At 36.6% G+C, this 14,016-nt stretch overlaps 1 protein-coding gene across 65 annotated transcripts in view, besides 1 other annotated feature; it reads right to left on the reverse strand.

Annotated features, from left to right (window-relative positions):
• Positions 1 to 14,016, reverse strand: part of TBC1D5 (TBC1 domain family member 5) — a 585,470-nt gene that overhangs the window by 384,480 nt on the left and 186,974 nt on the right. The gene's annotated exons all lie outside the window — the stretch shown is intronic.
• Positions 5,124 to 5,987: an enhancer, noted in NCBI's record as "OCT4-NANOG hESC enhancer chr3:17588257-17589120 (GRCh37/hg19 assembly coordinates)". NCBI's record gives its function as "activates a minimal SCP1, AML or CMV promoter by ChIP-STARR-seq in naive H9 embryonic stem cells {active_cell/tissue: H9 hESC(naive)}" and the evidence as "EXISTENCE:reporter gene assay evidence [ECO:0000049][PMID:30033119]".

Consider the following 14,016-nt stretch of genomic DNA (forward strand, 5'->3'; position numbering starts at 1 on the left):
ATAATTTTACACTTCCTTTTTAATTTGGATGGCTTTCTTTTTCTTGTCTAACTGCTATGGTTAGAACATCCATTACTATGTTGAACAGAAATAGCAAAAACTGACATCCTTCCATTGTTCCTGGTCTTAAAGAAAAAGTTTTCAGTCTTTCACCATTGAGTATGTTGTTCACTCCAAGTCTTTCACATATAGTAGTCCTCTCACATTCCAGGACCACAGTGAATGACTGAAATCATGGATAAAACCAAACCCTACACACACTATGGTTTTTCCTATATGTACACACCTATTATAAAGTTTAATTTATAAATTAGGCAAGGTCAGAGATTACGAACAAAAATTAACAATAAAATACATCAATTATGACCAAGGGTGGTAGCTCATGCCTGTAATCCCAGCACTTTGGGAGGCCAAAGTGGCCAGACTGCTTGAGCCCAGGAGTTCAAGAGAAATCTGGGCAACAAGGTGAAACCCCATCTCTATAAGAATTTTTTTTAAATTAGCCTGGCATAGTGGCACACACTTGTAGTCTCAGCTACTTGGGAAGCTCAGGCAGGGAGGATCACTTGAGCCTGGGAGGCAGAGGTTGCAGTGAGCTGAGATTGCACCACTGCACTCCAGCCTGGGCAACAGAGCAAGACTTTGTCTCAAGTAACATAAAACAAAATACAAAAATTATAAAAACATATTAGAATAAGATATGTGAATGTGGTATCTTTCTCATTCTCTCTCTCAAAAAAAATTGTTTTAATGTTTTATAGAGCCAGGGTCTGGCTATGTTGTCCAGGCTGGTCTCAAACTTGTAGCCTCAAGTGATGCTCCCACCTTGGCCCCCAAAAGCACTGGGATTAAAAGTACCACACCCAGCCAAAATATCTTATCATATATAATATTTGCATATTGCAGTTAAACAAGGGTAACTTAAATTGTAGAGAGCAAAACCACAAATGAGAAACTACAATATAAATTTTATTAGGCTGAAGTAGTTTCCATCTATTCTTAGTTTATTGAGAGTTTTTATTAAGAAATATTGTTAAATTTTGTCAAGTGCTTTTTCTGCATCTATTGAGATGATCATGTGCTTTTTTCCCTTCATTCTGTTATTGTGGTACATTACTTTTATCAATTTCCATAAGATGAATCATCCTTGCATTCCAGGAACAAATCCCACTTGGTGATGGTGTATAATCCTATTAACATACAGCTGCATTTGGTTTGTTACTATTTTGTTGAGGATTTTTATATCAAGGTTCATACACATATACATTTAGAACTTAAACTGGTATTATTAGGAACGTTTTTCTTGAACATACTTGCTCATATGTGAAATTATATATGTGTACTAGAATATTACACATAGAATTTTTTAACACAGCAAAACACTGAACCTAACCTAATTTATATCAACTGGGGACTTGTGAAATAAATTACTGTAGATATATATGGCACAGTTACTATATAGCGGAAGGGAAAGGAATGGAAGGGAGGGGAGGGGAGAGGAGAAGAAAAGAAAGAATAGAGAGAGAGAAGTACTGATACAGAAAGACTTGGCTGTATGTGCCTCTACATGCATAAAACATTTCTAGAGAGACACAACAGGGATTAATGATTTCCCATAAATTCAATGTAAACATTATAATTTGGGGTGGCGTTCCTAATCAAAGTCTTAGGATCAAGTATTATAACCAAAACAATATTAGAAAGGAAAAGGCTGAGAGTCGTGGCTCACACCTGTAATCCCAGCACCGTGGGAGGCCAAGGTGGGAGGATTGCTTGAGGTCAGGAGTTCGAAACCAGCCTGGGTAACATGGTGAGATCCTGTCTCTACAAAAATAAAAAAATAAAAATTAGCCAGGTGTGGTGGTGTGCACCTGCAGTCCCAGCTACTTGGGAGACAAAGGTGGGAGGACTGATTGAGCCCAGGAGGTTGAGGCTGCAGTGAGTCATGCTTGTGCCACTGCTTTCCAGCCTGGGTGACAAAGCAAGACCCCATCTCAAAAAACAAAACAAAACAAAACAGAAAAGAAAGAAAAAATATATAAGTCTATATTTCTATAATTATTTAAAGCAATAAAATTAGGTATTATGCCTATATTCAGTCCCGTGGTTATCAAATGTTGGTATACAACAGAATCACCTGGAGTTCTTACAATAACAGATTCCTGAAGTCTACCCTCAGAATTTCTGATTCAATAGAGCTTAAATGGGGCCTGAAAAGTTGTTTGTTTTTTTTTTCTTTTTTTTTGAGACAGAGTCTTGCTCTGTCTCCAGGCTGGAGTGCAGTGGCGCGATCTCGGCTCACTGCAACCTCCACCTCCCAGGTGCAAGCGATTCGCCTGCCTCAGCCTCCCGAGTAGCTAAGACTATAGGCACGCACCACCATGCCCAGCTAATTTTTGTATTTTTTTAGTAAAGACAGGGTTTCACCATGTTGGCCAAGATGGTCTCAATCTCTTGACCTCCTGATCCGCCTACCTCAGCCTCCCAAAGTGTTCGGATTACAGATGTGGGCCACTGCACCTGGCCCAGAAAATCTGCTTTTCTTAAAATTCCCCAGGTAATGCTGAAGTGCTGAACCGGGGGCCACACTTTGAGAACGACTGTTGTAGACAAAAGACTATCTATTCAAAATTGTACATGAAAACCCACCTATCACTGTATTACAAGTATAATTTGATTATCAATAATATTTAGATAAGAATGCATGTTTACTGAAAACTTAAGAACTCGGCCGGGCGCACTGGCTCACGCTTGTAATCCCGGCACTCTGGGAGGCCAAAGCAGGCAGATCACGAGGTCAGGGGTTTGAGACCAGCCTGACCAACATGGTGAAACCCCATCTCTACTAAATATACAAAAATTGGCTGGGTGTGGTAGCACATGCCTGTTATCCCAGCTACTCAGGAGACTGAGACAGGAGAATCTCTTGAACCCGCGAGGCGGAGGTTGCAGTGAGCCGAGATCGCGCCACTGCACTACAACCTGGGCGACAAAGTGAGACTCCGTCTGAAAAAAAAAAAAAAAAAGCACCTTAAGAACTCTGCATGTCTGCATGGTGGATGTGGAAGATAATTTAGATTATTCCAAACATGGTGAAATAAAGGAGGAGGAAAGATAAGGAATATAATATTATTTTCTTTTCAAATGTAGCCTCCTATCTCCTATTTCTACCACTAGATGGAAACCAGTACAACAAATAGCTGCCAAACTGCTAATATGTTTAGATACAGTAAACTAATCTGAGGTGAAAACTACATCACGTGGCATTAATTACAAAGGGACAAATAGCTATGGGTCCCTATACTGACATTAACTGTAGAATGAGCATATTTATTTTACAATTAATTGTATATGTCATTAGCTCTTGGCCTATAAATAACATCAACTCCAATCAGAGCTGTTATGGATCAATTTTTAAAAATAATAAATAAATAAATAAAAGCTGTGATTTTTTTTTATTTTTTAAAAAAAGCACTATTATGACACCGAAAAAATCGTACATTGAAACCCTAACCCCCAGTAACCTCAGTGTGTGACTTTATTTAGAGATAGGGCCTTTACAGCAAAAACCAAGTTAAATTGTCATTAAGGTGGAACATAATCCAATACAACTTATTCCCTTATAAAATGGGGAGATTTGGACTTGCACAGAGGGATGACCATGTGAAGACACAGGGAGAAGACTGCCACTTACAAGCCAAACAGACCTCAAAAGCAATCAACCTTTGCTGACACCTGATCTCAGACTTACAGCTTCCAAAACTGTGAGAGCATAAACTCTGTTGTTTAAGCCACTAAGTTTGTGGTACCGTGTTACGACAGTCCTAGCAAACCAATACAGAACCTTTCTTATTTACTTTTCTTTTTCCATTTCAAAGGTGGAATGATGACTATAAGCAACATACTGCATCAAGTCCTGAGACAACAAAAATGAGTAACATTTGCCTTCAAGGTACTTACAGTCCAATGACTTATTATATAAGAAAACATGAATATTCATTAGCCACTAATAAGATTTTGGTGTTTTTTTCAATGTTCATTGACACAACATTCAATGGGTCACCAACAAAAATAAGAGACACAAACACTGAATCCTACTTTATTTCTATTGCCACTATGCCAATTACATCACTCATTATTTGCTTCCTAGTCCTTAGCACAAACCTTCAAACTGGTTTCTTTCTTTCTCCAAACCATCATGCACATTGCTGACAGCACCCTTCTTGTCACCCTTCCTTTTATGTAATTTACCTGATCAAAATATTTCAATAAATACCTTAAAGGAACTAGCTTTTTCCCAACTCAAGGTATAGATGTATATAACCTCAAACAAATTACTTAAAACCACTGATGCAGTTTGTACATAGCAAACTGAAATGTCTTTAAAAAAATTAGCAATTAAATATAATAATCAACAAAAAGAGTAACAATATCATAAATTATTAAATATACATGAGCATAACCATACCCTCTTATATAATTCCTTACAAAGTCCAGCACAGAAAGAATTATCTCAAATTTTAAAGCAGTGAGGGTACAAATTGATAGTTATTCTTGATCTGTAGCTGCCTCATAAAAAACCCATAGCTATCATGGAAACACTATCATAGAAATCCTATCTAAGATTCCAAAATTATATGTAAACTACTTACAGGGTGCTTATATTGTACACAACTTAATTTTATATTGCGCACTGGACTTACAAACATGGCCTCAATTACAAATGAAAAATTTTAACTTTGAATTTCTTACCATTTTGTTATCAAGTCTCTCAATTACTGAATTAACACTGTTACATATATAGTTATCCATTTGTTTTATCTTTATAAAAAGTAATAGCAGCCAGGCACGGTGGCTCACATCTGTAATGCTAGCACTTTGGGAGGCTGAGGCGGGTGGATTGCCTGAGCTCAGGAGTTTGAAACCAACCTGGGCAACACGGTGAGACCCCGTCTCTACTAAAATACAAAAAAAAAAAATAACCGGGCATGGCGGCATGAACCTGTACTCCCAGCTACTTAGGAGACTGAGACTCCTGAGTCTCCCGAGGGGAATCTCTTGAATCTGGGAGGCAGAGGTGGCAGTGAGCCAAGATGGCGCCACTGTACTACAGCCTGGCTGACAAGAGCGAGACTCCATCTCAAAAAAAAAAAAAAAGAAAGAAAGAAAGAAAGAAATCCAACGAGTCTGCTGATATTCCTCTATTACATTCCAAGTAAATAAATTTCACATCTTCAAACATTATTAATGTGCAAAATAATATTTCTTGGCTACTTTATACATAACATTCTAGAGTCACAATTTTGGTTAGGTCCCAGAGAGAACATCTCTTATTAGTCCTACAATTAAATGATTCAGCAACCAGCCACACTACCTTTGCCTTTTAACAGTTCCAATCAGTAGCAGATCTAGGTGTAATCAACAGCAGCAGGGGGCTTTAGAAAGCAAAACAAAACAAAAACAGTAGGAATCTTTACTAGAATACAGTAATTGATACAAGGGAACATTGTAGGCTATTGTAATACAAGTTAACGTAAGATATTAGAATCTGACTTTATAATGAGAAGTGAAATATGCAGGACAACTTTTAAATATCTAAAAACAATAAATATCAAATATTTAATAAGGTTACGATGAAAAGGGACTGTTTTAAAATGAATCTTCTCAGTCTCAGAAGGGTGATTACTTCTGTCTCGGTTATTTAGCACCCATTTAGAAGACAAATTAAAGCCCTCCTTACCTCCTACTGTTACCATACCTAACCAATTTCATCATCATATACTTATAAAAATTAAAGCATCTCAGAGAATAACTAGCAATGCTTTTACTTCTCTTAAGAAACATTTAAAATTTTACCAGCAACATCAGGACAGTCTTAAAATGTAATTTAGCAGAATGTTCCCATTTCTTTCTTTTTCCTATTTTTGATTTCCTAGCCTAGAGTGTATAGATGATAGTTAAGTACTATACATGGTGCCACTTAATAGCATGCAGGTAGCACAGTGATTTATTTAGATGAAAAATCAAAAGCCAATGGTAGCATGATGTGATGACTACAGATTCTAACTACACAAAAATTCACAAATGGAAATGTTACCATAGTAACATCCTGATCACACTGCACATGAGGATAGTTGATTTCATGATATAATTCTGTTTATTGCAGTATGTGCAATGAGACATCTATGAAATCTCAATTATACTTCCTCACTCTTCTCAGAATAAGATGTAAGGAATTTGACTGACAAGTTTACAATCTTGTCTGATTTTTCTTTTACTTCTTTTAAATTTTATAAAACAATGATTAAAATGTAAGTTGGCTAAGATCTAAAACATATAGTACTCTGTATAAGCCATATTCTAATCAAAGTTGTTAAAATTTCATATAGCAGGCCAGGCATGGTGGCTCATGCCTGTAATCCCAACATTTTGGGAGGCCAAGGTGGGTGGATCACAAGGTCAGGAGATCGAGACCATCCAAGGCTAACATGGTGAAACCCCATCTCTATTAAAAACGCAAAAAATCAGCCGGGCATGGTGGCACGTGCCTGTAGTCCCAGCTACTCTGGAGGCTGAGGCAGGAGAATAGCTTGAATCCAGGAGGCGGAGGTTGCAATGAGCCAAGATCACACTACTGCACTAAGGATGGGCAACAAAGCGAGACTCGGTCTCAAAAACAAACAAACAAACAAACAAAATTCATATATCAGTAGAAAACAAGCATACCTGATGGCAATCACTTCTCTATGAAAATACTTCCAAAGTTATTCAGCAACTATCCCACAGTGTTTTTATCTCAAGAAAGTTTTGTATTATAAAAGGAAAAATACAGGGCGGGGGAAAAAAAAACCTTTGTGCATCTTCTACCCAAAAGGAACAGTAAGACAAATGTTAATAAAAATACTATCATTATCTGCCAATCAACACTTGTCTTCAAAAGATGCTTTTGTAGAGTCTTTGTAGCTACTGTTGAGGGGAGAAAATGTACTAAACATAAACATGGTAGGGAAAAGAGTAGAGAATGTTGCTATTAATTTATTCCTCCGTGTAACAAAGAGTTGCTTTATGATTAAAGCTCTAAACAAGAAAATTATTATTATAACAATAAATAATAATAAAGCCATTCATTCATCTGGGCTAACATAATAAAGAATTATATGTGTTACTTAAGCTACAAAACATACAATTAAAATACTTACTTTTTGAAGCCCATTGAAGTATAAATTATAAGGTAAGGTACCCCTAAGGAGGTAGCACTCTCCAAATACCTTTAAATTTACCTATTGAAAATTATTTTAGACAGTAATAATTTGTTAAACCTTGGTTATTAATTTTAAACTACTTCCAACAATCTTTATTAAATTATCAAGTGGTGGCCAGGCAGGGTGGCTCATGCCTGCAATCCCAGCACTTTGGGAGGCGGAGGCAGGTGGATCACCTGAGGTCAGGAGTTAGAGACCAGCCTGACCAACATGGTGAAGACCTGTCTCTACTAAATACAAAAAAATATATAGCCGAGTGTGGTGGCGCATGCCTGTAATCCCAGTTACTTGGGAGGCTGAGGCAACAGAATCACTTGAACCTGGGAGGCAGAGGTCGCAGTGAGCCAAGATTGCGCCATTGCACTGCAGCCTGGGCAAGAGAGCGACACTCCATCTCAAAAAAATAAGATAAAATAAAATAAATTATCAATTGGCAATTTCTTTTCTATATCTTATTTGTACTATGGTGCAGAGAATTGGTATTTCTTCTGTTCAGTGATGTACACTACTACTAGTCATAAAACATTTAAAAGTAAAGATATCTAAAAACGAGTCCTTGTTCATTTTAATGAGTTTTCTCTATAATAAATATATGAATAAAAATGGAGACATTAACAATTAAGAAAACAAGCCTTTAGTATGATTTTTATTAAAAGTTGCAAAAGTCATACTATAAAATTCAACAAATATGTAACAAGTTGTAACTTCAGTCACCCATTCAATATAGTTGTTTTAATAATGAATGGCGCAGGCGCTGTGGCTCACGCCTGTAATCCCAGCACTTTGGGAGGCCAAGGCTGTTGGATCACTTGAGGTCAGGAGTTCAAGACCAGCCTGGCCAATATGGTGCAACCTCGTCTCTAGTAAAAATACAAAAATTAGCTGGGTGTGTAGTGCATGCCTGTATTCCCAGCTACTCGTGAGGCTGAGGCAGGAGAATGGCTTGAACCCAGGGGGCGGAGGTTGCACTGAGCCAAGATTGAGCCACTGTACTCCAACCTGGGCAACACAATGAGACTCTGTCTAAAATAATAATAATAATAATAATAGTAATAATAAGAATAATAATAATAATGAATGGCTTCCTACTATCCTTTTGCAAAGTGGATTGTCATGTGAAAGATACAATTAATCCATTTTACTTCACAATCTCTAATGGTTTTTCATAGGCTTCCTGTAAAACAATTTAATATGAAGGATGATGACCTCATGAGTATCAAAATTGACTAATATTCTGTTTACGTGGATAAATGATACATTGTTATCAAATCAAACCTCTTAAATCATTGAGTCTTTCCCCTTCTATGTGCTTTGGAATTATTACTAAAGTATTTGTTAGGAAAATATTTACTACTATGAATATGTGTTAAATGGGTAAGGTCAGGGTTAAAAGCGGGCCATTTAAGAATACTGATTTCCCCATTACCTTGCTGATTCCTATCTGCAGTAAAAGTTTACTTTAGGATACTGATTCCACTGCCTATAATTTCAGTCTTCTACATCACTCTGAAATACCACTACACTGTTAAAAATGGTCATGTTCATCTGAATTGAAACACACCTGTAAAAGTTAAACAAGACTCAATAAATATTTGAAATTTAAAACACAGGGTACACACACAAAGTTAAAAACAACAACAACAACAAAAAAAAAAAACACCACAGAAGGTCTTCTTCTACAGCTTTACCCACAGTCAAGGTAAGAAGCACTCTAATCTACAATGCTTACTGCATGGCCACAATTAAAATTATGGTAAAACAAAATGTCATAAAATAATTTCAAAATTTTTTAATCCAATATGTTATATGTTTAGTTCTTGGGGCAATCTAACTACTGTGAGTCACAAAATGTTATTTTGCCATAAAGATAAAGCACTTACATATCTGTGAACATCACCAAATACCACATAATATAAAGTGAAGATATCAATAAACTGTCATCACCCTGACTTTTACAATGTGCCTGCAATAAAATGTGACTATAAATTTATGTCATGTTCACATGAAACTAAAACCAAAAAAAATCCCAGTTCTCTTCCTCTTCCATCTATAATTTAAAAATTTATTTGAAAAAAATATTACAAAACTTTCAATATATAGCTTTAATTAAAAAACAAGTATTAAACACTAAGAAAACAGTAAATAGCTCTGTGTGTGTGTGTGTATGTGTGTGTATTTAAGTGCATAAACATGCACTCTCTCTAATATACACACATACAGCAAAAGATTTCCTCCCATGGCTACACCATTGCTTTGCAGACAACAAGCTAATTTGGGTTCCTATCATGCTGATCGGTCATACAGCAATACAAAACAGAAATAAGTAAAGACGACCATCTGCTTGTTAGCTGAAACTATAAAAGTATATCTTTTTAATAAACAATAAAATTAGTTTGACAGGGCAGAGACCACCTGAATAGAAAATCAAATATTTCATGTTATTTAAGGTGTATGTCTGCTGGCTATTAAAATACTCCTCTTTAATTTATTACAGCAACACACACAATACTCATGTCATCCTCATTTTCTAAATCAATAATCAGCACAGCATGCTTCATTAACAGTGACCAATCACGGATGAGCTGGGGATCTCATTTTACAACATGAGCATTCCTAAGACATAAACCATCTGCTACTTGTAGTAACAGAAAAATCAAATTAATCCATTCTTATCATGCATTCAGATTTTAAAGCAATTAAAGATGCTCTTAGTGTAATCGCAGCCACAGAAGTAGTTCTGTAATGAGGGAAGCAAACTCTTCACTGAACTTTCTGTCATTCTCAATACATTTGAAAACTTTACAAGCTTTCTGCACTCCAGTGGGCCATTGTTCTCTGAACACAGATGTTGAAAACAACAAGCAATTTTTATTAAACATTTAATCTTTGCACATTTGAAGGAGTTTAAATACTGAACAGTGATCAAAACATAAAACATATAAACACAAAAAACAACTGCGTATTAAAATAAGGCATAATGTCTACTTTAAACTTATAATAAGAAGAAATTCACAGATGAAGTTTTTCTGATTCCTTAAACTTCTGCCCTTACCCCTTTTATTTTCTAACACATATGGTATGTGTTGATACCATCTTCAACATCTGCAGCACCTGAGCAATGGCATGGGAAACCTTGTTTCTGAGCAGTATACATTTGTAGTTTTATGTAAATTTATTCCCTTAGGCTGTCTCTAATATGTGAAAACTGTTACTCAACAACTAAAATTTGAATATACAGAACATCAGTCCTTCCAGATGATTAACACAAGGACCTATGATCTTAAGAGAGAAAAAAAAAAAGGTAATAACAATCACCGAAGTATCAAAGAAGTAAGCTTTATAAAGCAAAGGAACTAACATGGCTGGACAAAGCTCCCTCCTGTTAGAGACCTTATGCTTCAAAATCATAATTCAAGTAGAGAATTTTGGAAAGATTTCAAAGGAAAATCAAAATAATTATTAGTTTCTGAATAAATTGTATAAATCATCTTCCTAAATCAAACAGCACACTAAGGATGTATAGGAGTTGACTAGACCAGGTTGAGGGGAAGAACATTCTGGAGGTTGAAGTAAGCAGAAAGGCAAATCATGAAAGAAGACATTCATTCCAAGAGCAATTACTAAAAATGGAACACATGCCTGGCACTATTCTAGGCCCTAGGACATAGTACTAAATAAGACACTAGTCTCTGACCAAATAGAGCTTAAATGCTACTGGTGGGAGACAGAAAATAAACAAATATAAAAACACCAGGTGGTGGTGCTAATAGCTATGATAAAAATTTCAAAAAGTTGATGAGATGGAGAGAGAATGGGGTCTATTTTAGACTGGGTATTCAGATATCTGAAGAGGTGACATTTAAACAGAGTTGAGTGACAAAAAAAGGAGTTTGTCATGGGAGTTTGGATGAAGGTTATTTATTCCAGTGAGAAAAAACAGGTAATACAGAGGCCCAAAGGCAGAACTGAGCTTTGGAATAAATCCAGAATTCCAGGGCTAGAGAAATAGTATATCCTAACGCATAACATGAAAATTTTGCATTTACCAGTGTTTTTGTTTACTATTAATGTTTTAGCCTGAAATCCTGCCTGGGAGACAGAAAATATACTGTTATTATACAAACTCAGTAAAAAATACAAAATTGACTACATGATAGGTGTTTACTCTTTATTAGATTAACAGACTAAGCACAAATATACTTGGGGCACCATATTTCAGACAAAAGAGAGATGGGTAAGAAAGAGAGGGAATGGTGTCATGTGTCCCTGCTGCTATTTAAAGAACTCTCCATAGTCACTGTAAAGAGGTCACCAGTCAATACACAAAGTCCTTAGCCAATGCCGTAAGAACTGCAATTCTTATCTTTTAAAATGTTCCTTGTAAAACTACAATGAGATTCTATTTTTTACTTGTTACACTGGCAAAAATCCAAAAGTCTGGCAACACACATTAGTAGTAACACTGGGAAAGACCAGCTTTCCCTCCACACATTGCTGAAAAAAGTAGGAAATGGTACAACACCAAGGGAGGGGGATTTGTACTATTTAACAAAACTACAAATGTATTTTCTCTTGATCCAGAAAATCCAAAATGGAAATTATTCCTGCAAGTCTAACAGCACACACATATATATGTACATGTCCCAAATCTCCAAAAACCACAAGCAATATCCTAACTTTGACACAAAGTCGTTTTTGCAACAAAATTTGACTTGAATTGATATAAAGCTATTTATGGTCTTTATTTAACCAACAGTGTGAATAATCACACATTTCCCATCAGAAATAGTAACTTATTTGTTTACTGAGTGCTGCCTCCACTGGAAGTATTCTGTAATTTTAGAACATGTATCATGTTAACAATTCTAAAATCCCGAAAATTATGAATACCAAAACATTTAGTCCCCTTGCGGGTTCAGATAAGAGACTTAGGACCTATATAATTCATTACAATATTGTTTACAGAAGGTAAATGTTGACAACAATCCAAGTATTTACCAATAGGGAACTTGTTGAATTTTCTATGGACAAGTGCTCCTTCCTTCCCTCTTTTAAATCCTGTCAACATCTATTCCCTAAACATTCAGCCTACTACGTCAGTTTAAGGATGTAGTATCTTCTGTTTCTATGGCACGTACTATTTTTAGTCAACTTTCACCTCATCTGTCTCCTAAATTAAGGAATACAAGGACATATAAGATAGAATCCCTATTCTACAGCACCATAACATATTTGGTGAGAAAAGACTGCATTGAATAACCTAAAATGTACATAACAGCTTGAGGTCATCAAGAAGAGGTTATCAGTCAATATAAAAAGCCATTAACGAAGCCCATTACTTACCATTTCACTAATCCATTCTTTTAAAGGAACTCACCCGAAACATCGTTTGGAAATAATCTTTCAAATAAATTATAACGCAACTCACAGAGGAGTAATGTGGGAGACCAGTCAGAGTTCTAATGGCTGCTCACAGCTAATGAAACCAGTGGGGAAGCTCTCCTGGGGTGAAGCTGGTACATGTCCTCAAAGGATAGTGAAATGGCAAAAGAAAACACTACTGTAGGCAGGAAGTTTTATCTAAGAGGCTTAGTTTGATCATACTCTGGTTGAGGTGAAGCACAGGGATACAACTTTACTTTCCTATTATTCTTATGTTATGCTCAGGAACATGTTCTAGAAAACCAACAAAGGTTACTGACGAATATATATACATTCTTTATTCTCCCCCATCATGGAGCACTTTTCTGCACTTGGGTACTGAGTAAAAACTTTACACAAATGGGATTTGGCCTGGATCCTAAAAGGCATGCAGAATTTGGATACTAAAAACCACATCTACTTTCTCCCTAAAATCTTTCCATGCTTGTGTCACTGACAGTTTCCTTGTAATTCATAAAGCCCTTCCATTATCTCTTCTTTTCATATATTTAATATCTGTGCTTTTTTTTTTTCTTTTTTTTTGGAGACAGAGTCTCACTCTGTCGCCAGGCTGGAGTGCAGTGGCGCGATCTTGGCTCACTGCCACCTCCGCCTCCCAGGTTCAAGCGATTCTCCTGCCTCAGCCTCCCAAGTAGCTGGGATTACAGGCACGTGCCACCACGTCCAGCTAATTTTTGTATTTTTAGAAGAGATGGGGGTTTCCCCATGTTGGCCAGGATGGTCTCGATCTCCTGACCTTGTGATCCACCCTCCTAGGCCTCCCAAAGTGCTGGGATTACAGGCATGAGCCATTGCGCCAGGCCTTGTGCTTTTTTTTTTCTAATGCAAGTTGACAATGAATTTATTAACTCTGTAATCCAAAATGTATCTGAGACAAGTCTCAATCAATTTAGAAGTTTATTTTGCCAAAGTTAAGGAATACGACACATGGCACAGCCTCAAGAGGTCCTAAGAACATGTTCCCAAGGTGGCTGGGTTATAGCTTGATTTTATACGTTTCAGGGATACATACGACATGAATCAATATATGTGAGGTATACACTGGTTCTGTCCAGAAAGGCGGGGCATCTCAAAGCAAAGGGGGCTTCCAGGTCATAGGTGGATTCAAAGATTTTCTGGTTGGCAATTAGCTGAAAGAGTTAAGTGGTCATCTTCAGAGGCAATAGATGGCAACTGTTTCTCCTATTAAATCTTTAAAAGGTATTGGACTCCCAGCTAATCTCTTCAGGATCAGAAAAACAGCTGGGAAAGGAATGGGACTGTGATTCTATTCAGAATGTAAACTTCTCCCACAAGAGATAACCCTGAAGGG

The sequence above is a fragment of the Homo sapiens genome, chromosome 3 (genome assembly GCF_000001405.40).
Source record: "Homo sapiens chromosome 3, GRCh38.p14 Primary Assembly".
NCBI lineage: Eukaryota > Metazoa > Chordata > Mammalia > Primates > Hominidae > Homo > Homo sapiens.